Here is a 19,133-nt window from a genome sequence, read left to right as displayed (position 1 = left end):
TATACAGTCATGCCTTGCCATCAACAATGGAGGTCCCATTAGATGATCTTAGAGCTGGGAAATTCCTATCAGCTCCAGTGTATACGTGTTTTAAGCTAAGTGTTGTTACAAAGGGGTCAAATAGTTGAAAAAAATTTAGAAGTTTATTAAGTAAAGAAGTTACAGTAAGCTAAGGTCATTTTATTCTTGAAAGGAAAATTTTTTCTAAATTCAGGGTAACTGTGAGTCCTAGGCCTTCACATTCACTCTCTATCACTCACCAGAATGCCTTCCAGCCCTGCAAGCTCCATTCATGGTAAGTGCTCTACACAAGTGTATCATTTTTATTTTTATACTGTATTTTTATTGTAGTTTTTCTGTGTTTAGATACACAAATACCATTGGGTTACAGTTGCCTACAGTATTCCGTACAGTAACATGTTGTAAAGGTTTGTAGCCCAGGAGCAATAGGCTATACTCTCTAGGTTTGGGTAAGAACACTATGATGTTCATACAATGATAACATTGCAGGCTGGGCATGGTGGCTCACACCTGTAATCCCAGTGTTTTGGGAGGCCAGTGCAGGAGGACTGAGTTCAAGTCTGCAGTGAGCTATGATCACACCACTGCACTCCAGCCCGGGGACAGAGCGAGATCCTGTCTCTAAAAATAATAAAATAAAAATCCTTCTATCCACGTTTGGGAATATTAAATTTTTTTAAATCACCTAATGATGCATTTCTCAGAATGTATCCCCATCATTAAGTGACACGTGACTATTTGCTTTATTACGTATCCTTCCATTCATCAATTTATCTTTTCTTTCTTTTTTTTTTTTTTTTTTAGAGACAGTCTCACTCTGTTGCCCAGGCTGGAGTACAGTGGCGCGATCATAGCTCACTGCAGCCTCGAACTCCTGGTCTTGAGCAATCCTCCCACCTCAGCCTCCCGAAGTGCTGGGATGACAGATGTGAGCCACGGAGCCCAACCTACGTAATGTTTTTGAGATTCGTCAATGTTTTGTAGGTATCAGTAGTTCCTTTCTCTCTATTTCTGAGTATGGCTTGACCACTGCTTATTTATTCAATTAATGAACACCTAGGCTATTTCCAGTTTGGGGCCATTATGAATAAGGCTGCTGTGAACAGTCTTGTACAAGTCTTTGAGAACAAAATCTTCAATTTGGGGGAGTAAATGCCAAGGAGTGGAACTGTTGGGTCATGGGATAGGTGGTCTATTTAGAAACTGCCAGATCTTTTTCCGAAGTGATCATATAATTTATACTGCCACCAACAATGTATGAGAGTTCTAGTATCTCCCTTCCTTAGCAACATTTGGTGGTGTCAGACTTTAACTGAGCCATTTTGATGGGCGTATAGTATATCTCTTTGCAGTTTTCATTGTCCTTTATCTGATGACTCCTAATGATGTACTTGCCACAGGTATATCCTCCTTTGTGAGTTAGCTGTTCAATTATCTTGCCCATATTTCATCAGATTGTTTGTCTCTTCATTAAGTTGTAGAAGTTGGCCAGGCATGGTGGGTCATGCCTGTAATCCCAGCACTTTGGGAGGCTGAGGTGGGAGGATCACTTGAGGTCAGGAGTTCGAGACTAGCCTGGGCAACACGGTGAAACCCTGTTTCTACTAAAAATACAAAAATTAGCTGGGCATGGTGGCAGGCACCTGTGCCTGTAATCCCAGCTACTTGGGAGGCTGAGGCAGGAAAATCACTTGAACCTGGGAGGCGGAGGTTGCAGTGAGCTGAGATCACGCCACTGCACTCCAGCCTAGGTGACAGAGCAAGACTGTCTCAAAAAAAAAAAAGTCGTAGCAGTTCATTACATACTTTGGACATCAGTCCTCTGTCGGATAGTTGTTTTGCAAATATTTAGTCCCAATGTATGGCTTGCTTATTTTCTTTCTTTTTTTCTTTTTTTAGACAGAGTGTCGCACTGTCGCCCCAAGCTGGAGTGCAGTGACGCGCTCTTGGCTCACTGCAAGCTCTCCCTCCTGGGTTCATGCCATTCTCCTGCCTCAGCCTCATGAATAGCTGGGACTACAGGCACCCGCCATCACGCCTGGCTAATTTTTTGTATTTTTAGTAGAGACAGGGTTTCACTGTGTTAGCCAGGATGGTCTTGATCTCCTGACCTCGTGATCCACCCGCCTTGGCCTCCCAAAGTGCTGGGATTACAGGCTTGAGCCACCGCGCCCAGCGGGCTTGCTTATTTTCTTAACAGTATCTTTTACTGGGCAGAAGTTTTTAATTAGGATGAAGTCTGTTTTATAGACTTTTTCTATGTCCTGCCTAAGAAACCCCCAAGTTATATTCATCCGTGTTTCCTTCGAGCTTTCTAGTATTAGCATTTATGTTTAAATCTATGATCCATCTTGAATTAACTTTTTATGGATGGTACGAGACTAGAGTTGAGATTCCTTCATTCCATATGGATGTCTAGTTATTCCAGAACCATCTGTGGAGAAGACCTTTTTGTTTAATTGTTGTGGTGATTTGGTCAAAATTCTGTTTACCTAATTATAAGCATGGATCTTGAGGGGGTGTGTGTGTTTCATTTTATTTATTTTCATTGACAAATAATAATTGTACATGCTCATAGAGTACATAGTAATGTTTCTTTTTTTTTTTTTGGACAGAGTTTTGCTGTGTCACCCAGGCTGGCGTGCCGTGCCCCAATCTTAGCTCACTGCAACCTCTAGCTCCCGGGTTCAAGCAATTCTCCTGCCTCAGCCTCTTGAGTAGCTGGGATTTCAGGCATGCATCACCATGCCCAGCTATTTTTTTGTATTTTTAGTAGAGACAGGGTTTCGCCATGTTGACCGGGCTGGTCTCGAACTGCTGGGCTCAAGTGATCTGCCTGCCTCAACCTCCCAGAGTGCTGGGATTACAGGAGTGAACCACTGCCCCTAGCCAATAGTAATAGTAATTTTTTGTTTGTTTGTTTTTTGAGACAGGGTCTCGCTTTGTTGCCCAGGCTGGAGTGCAGTGGCATGATCTAAGTTCACTGCAGCCTTGACCTCCAAGGCTAAAGCAACCTTCCAACCTCAGCTTCCTGAGTAGATGGGACCACAGGCATATGCCACCACACCTGGCTAGTTTTTTGTGTTTTGTTTTTGTAGAGGTGGGGTTTCACCATTGTTGCCCAGGCTGGTCTCAAACTCCTGGGCTCAAGTGATCTGCCCGCCTCAGCCTGCCTCCAGAAGTGCTGGGATTACAGGCGTGAGCTACCACGACTGGCCTGGATCATATGATGTGCTATTTGTAGTGTTTTGAGGAGCCTCCATGCTGTTCTCCATAGCGGCTATACTAGTTTACATTCGTGAATGTGTGTTATTTATTTATTTATTTATTTATTTATTTTGAGACAGAGTTATATTGTAATTACATATGTAATGTAACGAGGTGATGGATATGCTAATTACCCTTATGTAATCATTATACATTATATGTGTGGAAACATTACATCCGTGGTTCACCCAGGCTGGAGTGTAGTGGCACAGTCTCAGCTCACTGCAGCCTCCACCTCCCGTGCTCAAGTGATCTTCCCACTTCACCCTCCCAAGTAGCTGGAGTTACAGTCACATGCCACTACACCCAGCTAATTTTTGTTTTGTTTTGTTTTTTGAGATGCAGTCTCACTCTGTTGCCTAGGCTGGAGTGCAGTGGCATGATCTCAGCTCACTGCAACCTCCACTTCCTGGGTCCAAGCAATTCTCCTGCCTCAACCTCCCAAGTAGCTGGGATTACAGGTGTCCGCCACCATGCCCAGCTAATTTTTGTACTTTTTAGTAAAGACGCGGTTTGGCTGTGTTGGCCAGGCTGGTCTCGAACTCCCGCCCTCAAGTGATCCACCCACCTTGGCCTCCCAAAGTAGTGGGATTACAGGCGTGAGCCACCGCGCCCAGCCCGAGTGTGTGTGTGGTTTTGTTTTGTTGTTTTTTGTTTGTTTGTTTTTGAGATGGAGTCTCGCTCTATCACCCAGGCTGGAGTGCAGTGGCACAATCTCAGCTCACTGCAACCTCCATCTCCCAGGTTCAAGCGATCTCCTGCCTTAGCCTCCCGAGTAGCTGGGATTACAGGCATGTGCCACCACGCCCGGCTAATTTTTGTATTTTCAGTAGAGACAGGGTTTCACCATATTGGCCAGGCTGGTCTCGAACTCCTGACCTCGTGATCCACCAGCCTTGGCCTCCCAAAGTGCTGGGATTACAGGCCTGAGCCACAGTGCCCGGCCGAGTGCGTGTGTTTTTAAAGTGTGCATCATTATTACTGAACAGCAACACCAAGAGAGTCTCACGGTTCCTGTGTGTTCCCACTTGGACTATTTTGCAACACTCCTCTTGACGTTGAAAAGAAAATGCTATGACACTTGGTTACTGCTGAGGCGAGGCCAAACCACCCTCTCCAGACCTGGGAAACCAGTGAGTATTAAAAATAGTTCAATCTTTTTCGCTACTTTTTAAAAAATCTCATGAGTTCAGCTGAAATCTTTTTCCCCCAAATGATTCATGGAGTAAATCAATGTGTCTGATTTTTGCCGAGGAGGGGAAATAGGACACCTGAAGGCCAGATCATGTTTCCCCTGGTTGTGCGCCATCCTCTCCTCCAAGTTGCCTGATCCTGCAAACAGCAGTTCCGTTTGTCTTCAGTTGCCTGCTTTTTCTAGTCATGCTGTGAACTTGAACTTGAGAAAGCTTGATGCTGACTGGGCCTGGTGAGAACGCTACATGTTCAAGTTGAGGGTCTTTTTAAATGGAAATCTTTTTAGACTGGCTCACGCCTGTAATCTCAGCACTTTGGGAGGCCGAGGCGGGCAGATCACTTAAGGTCAGGAGTTCGAGACCAGCCTGGCCAACCAACATAGCAAATCCCTGTCTCTACTAAAAACACAAAAATTAGCCAGGCGTGGTGGCGCATGCTTGTAATCCCAGCTACTTGGGAGGCTGAGGCAGGAGAATCACTTGAACCCAGGAGGCGGAGGTTGCAGTGAGCCAAGATCATACCACTGCATTCCAGCCTGGCTGACCAAAAAAAAAAAAAAAAAAGTTAAAAAAAAAAAGTTTTAGACAGATAATTCTTGTCAAAAAAGGACAACAAATAAGCACCCTTTTTTTTCTGTTTTAGAGGGTGAGGTGGGGAACTTAAGTATGTTTCATAAGTAAAGAGTGAATCCTCACGGTGATTTTTTTTAAGCTTGAAAACATAGGAAAATGGTAAATCAGAAACTTGAAGCCAGGGAGCCTTACCTGTGTGTGCAAGTGTGGACTTGAGCAAAGGGAAGCCTTAGGCACCTGTGCCAGGCCCATGCAACTTTTCCATGGACACGTCTTCCTATATTTCCAATAACAACCAGAGAACCAGCTACCCGCCTTTTGATGCTGTCCTCTTCCTGCAGGAGGAAGGGTAGGGGGACAGGATTCTTCCACCCAAGTGCCCTTGCAGGTGTCTAAGCCTGGGTGGTGGATTCTTGGTTCCTGGCAGGCCTTGGAGGGCAGGCAACAGCCAGACTGCCAAAAACACCCAATTAGATTGAATGTGGTTCCCTAGTTGTGGCTGTGGGTAGGGAGGAAAGTTAAGTCTCTTCACACATCTCCTCTCTGCACGCTGTGGTCTAGTTTGCACAGCCTCTTCTTATTCTTAATAACCCAGAATCTGAGAATTTAGAGTCCTTCTTGTTACTTAGGAAGGACTAATCTTCCCCGGCAGGTTGTCCTGCATTTGTTGAATGGGGTAAAAATTGCATAGCATCTCGAGTGCTGTGCCTACAAATTACCTTGATAAATGATTGTGACTCAGCAAAGCTTAGGCTTTTGCCCTAGTTTTGGAGGCTGGGGCTAACTAGAGAAAAAATGGAGGGTCTGTTGGGTGTTTCTGCTGTTTTTACAAGGCTTCATAATTCCCCATTGTCTGCGTGTGTGTGAATCAGCAAGTGGTTCGCATCCTGATTGGGTGGTGTGATGGGAGCACCCACCTCGCAGAGCCTCAGAGCCCTCATTGTCTCCCTTTTCCATTTGCTCATTCCTACTTTGGCCAGTGGCACCCTGAAAGAGTTTTCATTAGTAACAGTGTTGAGGAAACCACCCATTAGAGGCAGCGGGACTACACTGATCAGCATGTGGGCTGGGTGATTGCTCAGATCTGAGCTCAGAGCTTGCTGTGCTGCTCACCAGATGTGTGAGCCCGAGGATGCTGTCCCGGCTCCCAGCCTCAGTTTCCTCACCTGTGGGACTAGACGGGACTAAACCAGGGGGAGAATAGAAAGCACCCACGGGTAGTAAGTGCTCACCGAGGCATTTCCCCAGATTCCTGCCATTGTTTACTTACACTGGGAAGCACCCACAGCCTCCTCCTGGAAAACACACACCCCCTGCTCTCAAGAACTTTCCATTTTAAAACAAACTTGCCCTCTGGTGTGTCATCCTTGCTTTCTGAAAGTGAGTTTTCTTCTCCACGCCACTGTGTGTTTTTTTCTGATAGCAGTAGGGACTGTGTATTGGAGCTCAGTCTATGGGAAGCATTTTGTACTCGACGTTTAGGCACGATTATCCCCATTTGAAGATAAACTGAGGCTCAGGCGGGTTCAGTAACCTGCACTGGAGGTCAGGGTCAGTGGCAGAGCTGGAATTCAAGCCCCAGGATGTCCGACTGCAACGCCCATGTGCCTAACCACGATTTGATACCGTCATCCAGACGAAGGACATCACGGGGTAGGTAGATAAAGATAGAAGGAGGTGGGGGTGCCCAGCAACTGAGGGTGGCTGGGATCCCTTCATAAACCCGGCTCATCTGTGCAGAGCGTGGATCCTTCTGGAGTCAGTGCACCTGGTTGCGGCCAGAATCCCCCCTTCCCACTCTGTCCGTCTATAGCTCTAGAAATAGAGTTACACACATACCTGCAACTTGCGCTTTCTGCATGCCACAGGCAGCCATTACACTTGGTCCATCTCTTAGATTATTCTTAAGAGAGAGCTTCCAGGAACGGGGATTACAGCACCAGGAAGCAGAAACATTTCAAAGGCTCTTGATACATGTGGCCAAACTGTTTTCCAATTTACTCATCAGCCAGAGGACTACAGATCCTGCAACGCAGCATTTAAAACACCCACCTCCCAAGCCAGCCAATCGCTTCTTTTTTCTTTTTTTTTTGAGACGGATTCTCGCTCTTGTCACCCAGGCTGGAGTGCAGTGGCGCAATCTCGGCTCACTGCAACCTCCGCCTCCCAGGCTCAAGCGATTCTCCTGCCTCAGCCTCCCTAGTAGCTGGGATTACAGTCGCATGCCACCACATTCAGTTAATTTTTGTATTTTTAGTAGAGACGGGGTTTCACCATGTTGGCCAGGCTAGTCTCAAACTTCTGACCTCAGGTGATCCACCCGCCTCAGCCTCCCAAAGTGCTGGGATTACAGGTGTGAGCCACTCGACCCGGCCTCTTTTTTTTTAAGAGATGAGATCTCGCTCTGTTACCTAGGCTGGAGTGCAGTGGCACAATCATAGCTCACTGCAGTCTCGAACTCCCAGGCTCCAACAATCCTCCCTTCTCAACCTCCCAAGTATCTGGGAGCACAGGTGCGTGCCACCACGCCCAGCTAATTTTTTATTTTTTATTTTTATATTTTTATTTTTATTTTTTTTGAGACAGAGTCTTGCTCTGTTGCCCAGGCTGGAGTGCAGTGGCACGATCTCAGCTCACTGCAAGCTCTGCCTCCCGGATTCAAGCCATTCTCCTGCCTCAGCCTCCCAAGTAGCTGGGACTACAGGTGCCCACCACCACGCCAGGCTAATTTTTGTATTTTTAGTAGAGACGGGGTTTCACCATGTTAGCCAGGATGGTCTCAATCTCCTCACCTCGTGATCTGCCTGCCTCAGCCTCCCAAATTGCTAGGATTACAGGCATGAGCCACTGCGCCCGGTCTTTTAATTTTTTAAAAATTTTTTATTTTATGTAAGTTATTTTTTATTTTTTTATTTTTTGAGACAGAGTCTCACTCTATCGCCCAGGCTGGAGTGCAGTGGTGTGATCTCGGCTCACTGCAACCTCTGCCTCCCGGGTTCAAGCAATTCTCTGCCTCAGCCTCCCGAGTGGCTAGGATTACAGGTGCCCACCACCACGCCTGCTAATTTTTTGTTATTTTTAGTAGAGACGGGGTTTCACCATCTTGGCCAGGCTGGTCTTGAACTCCTGACCTTGTGATCCACCCACCTTGGCCTCCCAAAGTGCTGGGATTACAGGCATGAGCCACTGCACCTGGCCTAATTTTTAAAATTTTCACAGAGACGGGGGTCACGCCATGTTGCCCAGGCTGGTCTTGAACTCCCGGCCCCAAGTGATCCTCCCACCTTGGCCTCCCAAAGTGTTGAGATTACAGGTGTGAGCCACTGTGCATGGTGAAATATATTTTTATATATTGGGACAACTGAGAATATTAGAATGTGGACAGGCTATTAGATGATACTGAAATTTGTTAATTGTACTTAGGAGTGATATGTCTAATGTCTAACTTATCTTTAACCTCACAGAGTGAGATGAAACAAATACAGAAAATAATAATTACCAAATCTAGGTAGTGGGTAGATAGGTGGGTTTATGGTACACCTGGGATGACAGGTGTGAGTCACCACGCCTGGCCTTAAACATTCAATTACAAGGGGGATATGGGGGCCCACAGCGACAAGGGGTTTCACCCCCAGGAAGAAACAGACATGGAACCTGCTGGCCGGGCTTTGAAACTCCTTGTTCTCAGCGTGTGGCCCCAGTGGAGCAGCATCAGCCTTACCTGAGACCTTGCTAGAAATGTGCATTCTTGGGCCCCACTTCAGTCCTACTGAGTCAGGAGCTCCAGGGCCAGGGCCTGGCTGTCTGGAAACAAGCCCTCCAGGTGATTCTAGTGCCTGCGCAAGTTTGGGAGCTGCTGGTCTGCAGAAAGCTACATCAACTGAAAGGGGAAATGTACCACACTTGTTTACACACAAATCTGTGCCAGCTGGGAGCAACTCCAAGGGAAATGTCACTTCCATCTCTCGTTCATATGATGAGTTGGTGCCTCTTAACTCAATAGTGTCTTTAGTTCAGATGATTTGACCACATGGAAAATGTCCCTCTGTCCCTCATGTTGAGGAGACTAGCCCTCACAAACCGTTGTTCTTCATACCGAGGCCTATGATGGGCTAGGCACGTTATTATTAATATCCCTGTTGTTCCCTCGGGAGGGGAAATGAAGGCTTAGAGCAGTTTATTTATTTTATTTTATTTTTTTTCCAAGATGGAGTCTCGCTCTGTTGCCCAGGCTGGAATACAGTGGTGCGATCTTGGTTCACTGCAATCTCTGCCTCCTGGGTTCAAGCAGTTCTCCTGCCTCAGCCTCCCAAGTAGCTGGGATTACAGGTGCCCACCACCACCCCTGGCTAAATTTTGTATTTTTAGTAGAGACAGGGTTTCACAGTGTTAGCCAGGCTGGTCTCAAACTCCTGACCTTGTGATCTGCCCACCTCAGCCTCCCGAAGTGCTGGGATTACAGGCATGAGCCGCCACACGCAGCCCTCAGAGCAGTTTAGAAACAACCCAAGGTCCCACAGCTAGTAAGTGGCAGAACTGAAACTCAAACCCAGTCTCTCTGCCAGAGACGGAGTTTTAACGGCCACACAGACTGAGAGAGAGAGTTGAGACACTTACGTAAGGTGGGAGCCCTGCAAATGATTGGGTGTGGTGGTGTTCTGGAATCTTCTGAAGCTCTGTATTGAGTGCTGTGAGGCATGGCTTTCCCCTGCCCCTCCTAACCTTGGACCCTGACACATCAAAGCCAGTCTTGGGCACACGTGGCTCTTGCCTGGTTGACAGTCCCCATCAAGCTGGTGAGGTGGTCTTGTCTTTTTTCCCCAACCTGTTGTAATTTGACTCTTAGGAATTGTGCCGTGAGCGCTGAGATTTGTAGACATCCCATTGTAGGGGTCTTGGTTGCGTATCACTGTGCCCATGGCTCTTAGGGTGACACACACCCAACTCCCAAATTCTGTCCCGAATGAGAGGTGGGGTCCAGAGGCACTTAAAAGTCCAGGGAGTCTGAGGGACAGGGATGCTGACAGTGGGCACTGGTGGTTTGTCTGTTCTACTGTTTCAGGGGGATGAGCCCACCATGTGGAATTCAGATGGGCCTTCTGGCTACCCCAGGGGCCTCCAGCTCAGCTTCCTGGGTGTGTCAGAGAGGCGTGCCAGGAGCCAGAGCTGAGGAATGAGGCTGGGCTTACTGCCACCCAGGAGGAGTCCCTCTGGAGAGCCTCAGAAAGTACCTGCAATGGCAATACAACAGAAGAGCCTCTAAATATCTCCTTTTGGGGATACGGCAGGAAAGCCAAAGGAAATGTGAAGAGATGTCTGAACGCCCAGAGGAAACCAGTGGGCCCTTCCAGGAGTTCTATTTGCGGTAAGAAACCTTGGCATGGGGCAGCCAGCTCTCCTGCAAAAATAGACCAATGTGCTGAGAAGCAGCTCAATTCTGGGAGCAATTCCCCTCCATGGGGAAGAGAGCTTGCACTGGGACTTAGAAGGATCTGCCCCCTCTCTTCTTCTTGCCCCTGGACTCCAGAACCAAAAACGGGGAGAAAAAAAGGTAAACATTTTTTTAAAAAAGAACTCTTGGCCAGGTGGAGTGGCTCACACCTGTAGTCCCAACACTTTGGGAGGCTGAGGCAGGAGGATCACTTGAGGCTAGGAGTTTGGGACCAGCCTGGACAACATGGCAAGACCCTGTCTATCAAAAAAATACAAAAATTATCTGGGTGTGGTGGCACATGCCTGTAGTCTCAGCTACTTGGGAGACTAAGGCAGGAAGATTGCTTGAGCCTGGGAGGTCGAGGCTGCAGTGAGCTATGATCAAGACAGTGTACTCCAGCCTGAGTGACAGAGTGAGAACCCCATCTCTTAAGAAAACAAAAAACCAGAACTTATGAATGTATCCATGACTTAAATCAAAAATGGGCCAGTGGAAACACAGGGCAAAGGAAGGTTTCAAATAAGCACCTGGACACAAACGGACCCAGGAGGTGACACACAGTATTGAGGACCCACTCCCCATCACTAGGTCCTTTGGCCTCAAATGAGTGAGATGACTAAGAAAATAGGGCACCATGTGCGGCAGAAGTGAGGGTGGCTAGACAGAAAATGACGGCCTTGACTGTGATGGTCATCACAGACAGGACCCCTAAGAAAGGTGGCCAAGGGGGTCTGGGGACCCATCTTTAGAATACCGGGCTGACAGCATAACAGGGGTTTGGGACACCACCATGAAAGAAGACAATGAAGCCAGGTGCAGTGGCTCACGCCTATAATCCCAGCACTTTGGGAAGCCAAGGCAGGAAGATTGCTTGAGCCCAGGAGTTTGAGACCAGCCCGAGCAACGTAGCAAGACCCCCATCTCTACTAAAAATTTAAAAATTAGCGAAGCATGGCTGGGCACGGTGGCTCACGCCTGTAATCCCAATACTTTGGGAAGCCAAGGCGGGTGGATTACGAGGTCAGGAATTCAAGACCAGCCTGACCAACAGGGTGAAACCCTGTCTCTACTAAAAATACAAAAATTAGCCGGGTGTGGTGGCAGGCTCCTGTAACCCCAGCTACTCAGTAGGCTGAGGCAGGAAAATCGCTTGAACTCAGGAGGTTCAGTAAGCCAAGATCATGCCATTGCACTCCAGCCTGGGTGACGGAGTGAGACTCCATCTCAAAAAAAAAAAAATTAGCCAAGCACAGTGGCATGTGTCTGTAGTACCAGCTACTTGGGAGGCTGAGTGAAGAGGGAGGATTGCTTGAGGCCAGGAGTTGGAGACCAGACTGGGCAACATAGCGAGACCTCAGCTTGGAAGTAAGGAAGGAAAGAAGGGAGGGAAGGAGGGATGAAGGTAGAAAGAAACGGGACAAGATGGACTCCTGAGGCCATCCTAATTCTGGAACACAATACAATGGCCTCTGTATGTTAGGAGGGCTCATTTGGCTTCTCTCTAAGCCAGCAGTCCACATCTTTTTGGCACCAAGGACCAGTTTTGTAGAAGACAATTTTCCACGGATGGGGGCGGGGGGTGGGGGTGGGAGGGGATGGTTTCGGGATGAAACTGTTCCACCTCAGATCATCAGACGTTAGATTCTCGTAAGAGGTGCCCAACCTACATCCCTTGCACGTGCAGTCCACAATAGGGTTTGTGCTTCTATGGGAATATAATGCCACACTGATCTGACAGGAGTCAGGGCTCAGGTAGTAATGCTCACTCACCTGCCGCACACCTCCTGCTGTGCGGCCGGTTCCCAATAGGCCATGGAATGCTTATTGGTCCACAGCCCTGGAGTTGGGCACCCCTCTTCTAAGGCAGAAGCTTCTACTGTCTTAGGAGCAGCGTCCTGGCCTCCACAGCAGGGAGAGAGCAGGAATACCCAGCCACAGATACTGGTCAAGATATTGATCAACTTCCTACCATCATGGTGGAGGCAAGCCTGGAGGCCTCTGGGTGGTCATCAGGTCACCCCAGCACATTTTCCTGCCCCGGACTCCTGGCCACGCTGAGGTTGCTGTGAGCAGACACGATGTGCAGGGTCATGGATGTGCAGCTCAAACTCCTTGACAAGCGGGAGATTTATTTTATGGCCCAAGCAGTTTGGAGACAAAATCGTAAGGTGCTCACCCATCCAGTGTCTCTTCAGCCGGCACTGGGAGGTGTCAAACTGACCACATTCGACTGCCCCTTCCGCCCGCAGAATATGGGTCTGCGTTTCTCTTTCCCTCTTGGTGGCCAAGAACTGTCAACATCCAGCTGTGGCTCTGCACTCAGCCGCCGCTCAGCCTGCTCAGGTTGAAAGGTCAAACGTTGTCTGGAATTGGCAGCCCAGCTTACTAGCAGCTCTTCTGTCTTCAGAGTGCAGTGAGGGGAGCTGTCAGAGGGCTGAGGCAAGGACCAGAGAGGGAACTCCTGCGACAGAGAAAGCTCAGCCCTGGTTATGTTCTGGAGGGAGCATAGCAGGGTCTGTCCCAGGAACTTTATTAGTTAGCGGTTAAGATCCTCATCCACAGAAAAGCCGGTAGGAATTAGCCAGGTGGTGTGTGCCTATGGTCCCAGCTACCCAGGAGGGTGAGGAGGGAGGACTGCTTGAGCCCAGGAGGTTGAGGCTGCGGCTAGCTATGATTGTGTCACTGCGCTCCAGCCTGGGTGACAAAGCAAGATCCTGACTCAAAAAAAAAAAAAAAAAAAAAAGGAAGAAAGAAGAAAGAGAGAGAAGAAAGAAAGGAGAGAAAGAGAAGGAAGGAAGGAGAAAGGAAAGAAGGAAGGAAGAAAAGGAAGAAAGAATGACAAAGAAAAGAAAGAAAGACGAAAAGGAAAGGAAAAGAAAAGAAAAAAGAAACAAAAGCAGGAAAGTGAGGGGAGAGGGCCAGGAAGACAGAAGACAGGATGGGCAAGAAGGGTGGGAAGGATTCCCACACCAGATTCAGGAGTGGCTCTGCATTGGGAAATCCATCTACGACTGCTGGGGACTTGGTTTTGCAAACATGCACAGAGAAACCTTCATCCACCTCTGTGCAATGTTGGACTGAAGTAGAAATGAGCCGCTGTTTTCTGGAAGCACCCCATTTCTTTGAGCTGATCTTCTCTAATAATGAATTCTGGTGAAGCCTGCCATTCACAGCACCCTGCCCTCCCATCTGTAGGAGGTGGGAACAGGACCCAGGCCAGTTGATCAGAGAGCTCCCTTGCCCTGGGATGAGCATGTGACCCAGATGTCTCAATCATGGGGAAGATCCTCTTGCCTGTTATAGCCACTATGCTGGAAGAACAGGATGTGGGCTTGCTGGCCGCCATCTTCCAGTCCACGCTGGGAACCCATCTGCAGGAGGAGGGAAGGAGGACAACCCAGTTTGAGGGAGCATATGGACAGCAGCTATAGAAGGCTCCATATGTGCCCAGTGCTAGATCCACCCCATCCCTTCCTGTTCCATAAATCCATACATCTTCTCTCACTTTTGCTTACCCTAGTTTGAGTTACATTTCTGACACCTGCCACCATAAAAGCCCAAATGATTACAGAGAATATTTGGCTACAGGAAAGACCCTGCAGTCTGTGAAAAAAGAGGCTGCTGGTGCATAGTCATCGTAGACCAGTGCAAAGAGTGAAACAGAAACATCCAGCTTAATCTGCAAAAGCCTTTTTGGATCCTTGAGAGGCGCTCATTAACTTACAGCAAATTGGTGAGCTGATACTCTTCTTTCATCCAGGTGAGTGCATTAACTAGGTTAATGTTCCTGTCTCAAGGGACTGCTGTAGGTTAGGGTGAATGAATGAAAGAAGCAAGTTTTTAAACAGGAAAAAGGCTGCAGGGAAGTTGAGGTGACAAGCATCGTTTCACCCCCAATGGAAGGTGAGCTTGTCTGTTAGGTCCCAGGGACTGAATTGGAGTTCCGTGGTTAGGGAATGACCCATCTCAACAAGCAACTTCCATCATCCTTCCATGGGGATCTGATTAAGGTCTTCTCCAGAAGGAGATGGCCTCGTGAGTTGGGGCTTTTTAATCTCCCTGTCCCTCCTCTAGAAGGGCATTGCTACTGGCCTTGCCCTGCCAAGTCTTCAGTCTACAACAACACTGCCCGGCTTCAGACACAGCCCAGATCCTTCCCAGATCCTTCCCAGACACAGCCCAGATCCTTCCCAGACAAAAAGTCCTTCCGACTTTTTGCCCTTTCGGCCCAGCCTTCCCTATCACTTATGCTGAAATTGGGAACGTTTCCCAAACCAACAATTTCCCAGTCCACAATGTTCCCTTGCTGAGTGTCCCCACAGGAGAGACAGGCAGCCTGATAAATAAAACCAGTCATAAAACCTCCCTGCCTTAGCAAAGGGACTGCTTTGCCAGGCTACCGTCACATAGCACTCCTGTCTCCCGTTTGACTTCATATAGTGAAAATTGTCTAAAAGATAAGGCAGGAGCTCTGGTTGACACCCCCCCTGCCCCCGCCTCATAGATCTCTCTCTAGAAGCATTGGAAGAGGCCGTCTCAAAAAAGAAAAATAAAATAGAAGCATTGGAGGAAAGATGTGGTTTGTAGTGAAACAAATTGGAAGTCAAGCTCAGCCTCAACCACTTACTTGCTTCTGACCTTGGGTAAGTCCTATGTACCTAGGAACCTCGGTTTTCTTTTCTTTCTTTTCTTTTCCTTTTTTTTTTTTTCTTTGAGATGGAGTCTTGCTCTGTCGCCCAGTCTGGAGTGCAGTGGTGCAATCTCGGCTCACTGCAACCTCTGCCTCCTGGATTCAAGTGATTCTCGTGCCTCAGCCTCTAGAGTAGCTGGGACTACAGGCATGCACTACCAGGCCCAGCTAAATTTTGTGTTTTTAGTAGAAACAGGGTTTTGCCATGTTAGTCAGGCTGGTCTCGAACTTCTGATCTCAAATGATCCACCCGCCTCAGCCTCCCAAAGTGCTAGGATTACAGGCACAAGCCACCGCACCTGGCTGGAACTTCGACTTTCTTCTGTACAATGGAGGGGGGACAGTAATACTGCAATGTTTACAATTAGGTTCAACTGAGAGTAACAGAGGTCTGAATACAGTAACTGAAATGGGGTGGGCAGATCACTTGAGGCCACGAGTTCAAGACCAGCCTGGGCAACATAGTGGCATACCATCTACAAAAAAATAAAAATTATCCGGGCGTGGTGGCACAGGCCTGTAATTCCAGCTATTCGGGAGGCTGAGGTGGGAGGAACACTTGAGCCCAGAAGGTTAAGGCTGCAGTGAGCTGTGATTGCACCACTACACTCCAGCCTCGGTGACAGAGTGAGACCCTGTATCTAAAAAAATAAAAAATAAAACATTTGGCCATGCCTATCTGCAAGAACATCTGGGAGAGGTAGCTGTGGTAGGTAGCCTCAAAAATGGCCCCAATATCACTGGATGCAGTGGCTCACACTTTGGGAGGCCAAGGCAGGAGGATTACTTGAGCCCAGGAGTTCCAGACAAGCCTGGGCAACGTAGTGAAACCCTGTCACTACAAAAATTTCAAAATTAGCTGAGCATGGTGGTGCATACCTGTAGTCCCAGATACTTGGGAGGCTGAGGTGGGAGGATCACTTGAGTCCAGGAGTTCAAGGCTACAGTAAGCTATGATCATGCCACTGCATGCCAGCCTGGGTTACAGAGTGAGATCCTGTCTCAAGAAAAAAAAAAGGCCCTTCTCCACTCCCCAAAAGTCCCCATTAATCCCTTTATTCCAGCATTTTCCCCCTTGTGAGGAAGGGGGGAAATTTGTATTTGTATTTGTATTTGTATTTGTATTTGTATTTGTATTCCCACTCGCTTTGAGTGTGGCTGGATCTAGTAACTTTCTTCTAAGCAATAGACTATGGCTGGAAGAATAGAATTTAGTCACATAACCATGTCTAGCTGCAATAACATCTGCATTAGTCTGTTTTCATGCAGCTGATAATGACATACCTGAGACTGGGAAGAAAAAGGGATTTTATTGGACTTACAGTTCCATATGGCTGGAGAGGCCTCAGAATCACGGTGGGAGGTGAAAGGCACTTCTGTCATGGTGGCAAGAGAAAAATGAGGAAGAAGCAAAAGCGGAAACCCCTGATAAACCCATCAGATCTCAAGAGACTTATTCACTATCACAAGAATAACACGGGAAAGACCAGCCCCCATGATTCAATTATCTCCCCCCGGGTCCCTCCCACAACATGGGGGAATTCTGAGAGATACCATTCAAGTTGAGATTTGGGTGGGGACACAGCCAAGCCATATCAACATCTATGGTAAAAGTGATGGGATGTCCCTTGTGAGATTAGGTTTCAAAGAGATGGCAGTTCTGTCTTGGGCATCCTGTCTTGCTCTGAGGAAAACCAGCCACCAGGTAGTGAGGTGCTCTCTGGAAAGGCCCACGTGGTAAGAAACTGATGTCTCTGCTGGGAGCAGTGACTCATGCCTGTAATCCCAGCACTTTGGGAGGCCAAGGCGGGTGGATCACTTGAGGTCAGGAGTTTGAGACCAGCCTGACTAACATGATGAAACCCCGTCTCTACTAAAAATACAAAAATTAGCCAGTATCATGGTGCGACAGAGCAGGAATCTGTCTCAAAAAAAAAAAAAAGAAAGAGAAACTGATGCCTCTGGTCAACAGCTAGCAAGGACCTGAGGCCCTCGGTGCAACAGTCTTATCATGAGTGAGCTTGGGAAGAAGATCCTTCCCCAGATTAACCTTCAGATGATGGCAGCCCTTGTGGAAATCTCAATGCAGTCTCACAAGAGACCCGAGTCAGAGGACCCACTGAAAACATGAGATGCCAAACTTTTTTGTTTTGATTTCAGGAGCTAAGCGTTGTGCTCATTTGTTACGCAGCAATAGCTAACTAATACAATAGTTTTCTAGCTAGACACATTTCTAGGATTCTGCTACTAAGAAGGAAGGGAGGGCTGGAGATTGGGAAGCAGTGAATAGTCACTGTCACCAAAACTGAGGAGTTAATTTGATCAGGTCTGGCTGCCCTGCTTGCTTTGGTCACTTGCTTGTTTTGTTAATCTTTCATTTTTCTCCTTTTTTCTTTCTCTTCTTTCTCTTTCTTTCTCCTTCCTTCCTTCCTTCCTTCCTTCTTCCTCCTTCCCTCCCTTCCTCCCTTACCTCCCTCCCTCCTTCCTTCCTTGCCTGTTGTGTTAATTTTTTTTATTATAACAGAGACAAGGTCTCACTATGTTACCCAGGCTGGTCTTAAACTGGGCTCAAGCGATCCTCCCACCTTGGCCTCCCAAAAAACTGGGATTACAGGCATGAGCCACCATGCCTGGCCTTTTTCTCTTTTTCCTATGAAGCTGAAGATAGTCATAGCTGAAGGCTGTGGTAGCTGAATACCATGCATTAAACACTGAAATATACCCTTCACTAGCTTCTTTAGAGATCACATTCACAGGTCACTATGGTAATGTTTGCTTCAGTTGTTTTTCAGGAACTTAGGCCAGCTCCCATCCAGTTCAATCAGGTTGGGACCACCAGTTCTTCAATGGGCCTGCCCAAATGCCCAAGAAGTGGACTTTTGATGTCAGAGGGCCAAAGATCCCGCCCTCAGATCATGCTAATGCCACCACTTTCTGTACACATGTCCTATGAAATGCCACCAACTCTGACTATTACGCTTGTGCAGAACAAACCTATCAATTAATTTTTCCCTGCTGCCAATCACGTTTCCCCATGCCTTACACCACCGTGTTTCCCTAACCCATAAATATCCCTAAGCCTTATCTTCAGGAAGCAGGATGTGAGAGCTGTTCTACCTCCTTGCTTGGTGGCCTTGCAAATAAATCTTTTCTCTTTTGCAAAACCCACGTCATAGTCACAGTGACTGATTACTGCATGCGGGCAGGACACACCTGCACCTGGCCAATAACACCACTTGTACCTACCCCAAAGGGCTGTCGTAAGGATGGAATGAGGTAAATCTGTAATGTACCCATATCCAATTTGCCAGCACCCAGGAAGTGACTAAGGAGACATGGTTTTTAAATTATTATTATTATAATATTTTTAGTAGAGATGGGGTTTCCCCATGTTGGTCAGGCTGGTCTCGAACTCCCAACCCCAGGTGATTTGCCCGCCTCGGCCTCCCAAAGTGCTGGGATTACAGGCATGAGCCACCACTCCCGGCCAGAGACGTGGTTTTTAGTGAAGGGCCACTGTCTAGTGTCTGCTTCCCAAGCTTTTCGCCAAGCTCCTCTAGGAGTCAAGGTGGGCTATGTCTAACATTCAGTTTTTCCTGACTTCTTCCCTTTGACAGTTCAGATTCCCCATGTCCTCCAGCCAATTAGTACGATTACTCCTTCTTTTTCTTCTTCTTTTTTTTTTTTGAAATGGAGTCTTGCTCTGTTGCCCAGGCAAGAGTGCAGTGGCATGATCTCGGCTCACTGCAGCCAGGTTCAAGTGATTCTTCTTCCTCAGCCTCCTGAGTAGCTGGGGTTACAGGTGCCTGCCATCATGCCTGGCTAATTTTTGTATTTTTAGGAGAGATGGGGTTTCACCATGTTGGCCAGGCTGATCTCGAACTCCTGACCTCAGGTGATCTGCCCACCTCCGCCTCCCAAAGTGCTGGGATTACAGGTGTGAGCCACCACACCC

At 47.7% G+C, this 19,133-nt stretch overlaps 1 long non-coding RNA gene across 1 annotated transcript, besides 2 other annotated features; it reads left to right on the top strand.

The window, feature by feature from the left end:
• On the top strand, nucleotides 5,044-18,346 carry LINC03107 (long intergenic non-protein coding RNA 3107). The gene is made up of 2 exons (XR_007065002.1): nucleotides 5,044-15,131; nucleotides 17,971-18,346. It is a non-coding gene; the product is annotated as a long intergenic non-protein coding RNA 3107 (long non-coding RNA).
• Nucleotides 12,679-12,973: a silencer, noted in NCBI's record as "tiled region #2182; HepG2 Repressive DNase matched - State 4:PromP, and K562 Repressive non-DNase unmatched - State 7:EnhWF". NCBI's record gives its function as "represses a minimal TATA promoter and a strong SV40 promoter by Sharpr-MPRA in HepG2 and K562 cells {active_cell/tissue: HepG2 | K562}" and the evidence as "EXISTENCE:reporter gene assay evidence [ECO:0000049][PMID:27701403]".
• Nucleotides 18,139-18,433: an enhancer, noted in NCBI's record as "tiled region #5329; K562 Activating DNase matched - State 9:DNaseU". NCBI's record gives its function as "activates a minimal TATA promoter and a strong SV40 promoter by Sharpr-MPRA in K562 cells {active_cell/tissue: K562}" and the evidence as "EXISTENCE:reporter gene assay evidence [ECO:0000049][PMID:27701403]".

This window comes from Homo sapiens, chromosome 16 (genome assembly GCF_000001405.40).
Source record: "Homo sapiens chromosome 16, GRCh38.p14 Primary Assembly".
Classification (NCBI taxonomy): Eukaryota; Metazoa; Chordata; class Mammalia; order Primates; family Hominidae; genus Homo; species Homo sapiens.
Note: the sequence above shows the minus strand (reverse complement) of the source record. Positions and strands in the feature narration are given on the sequence as shown.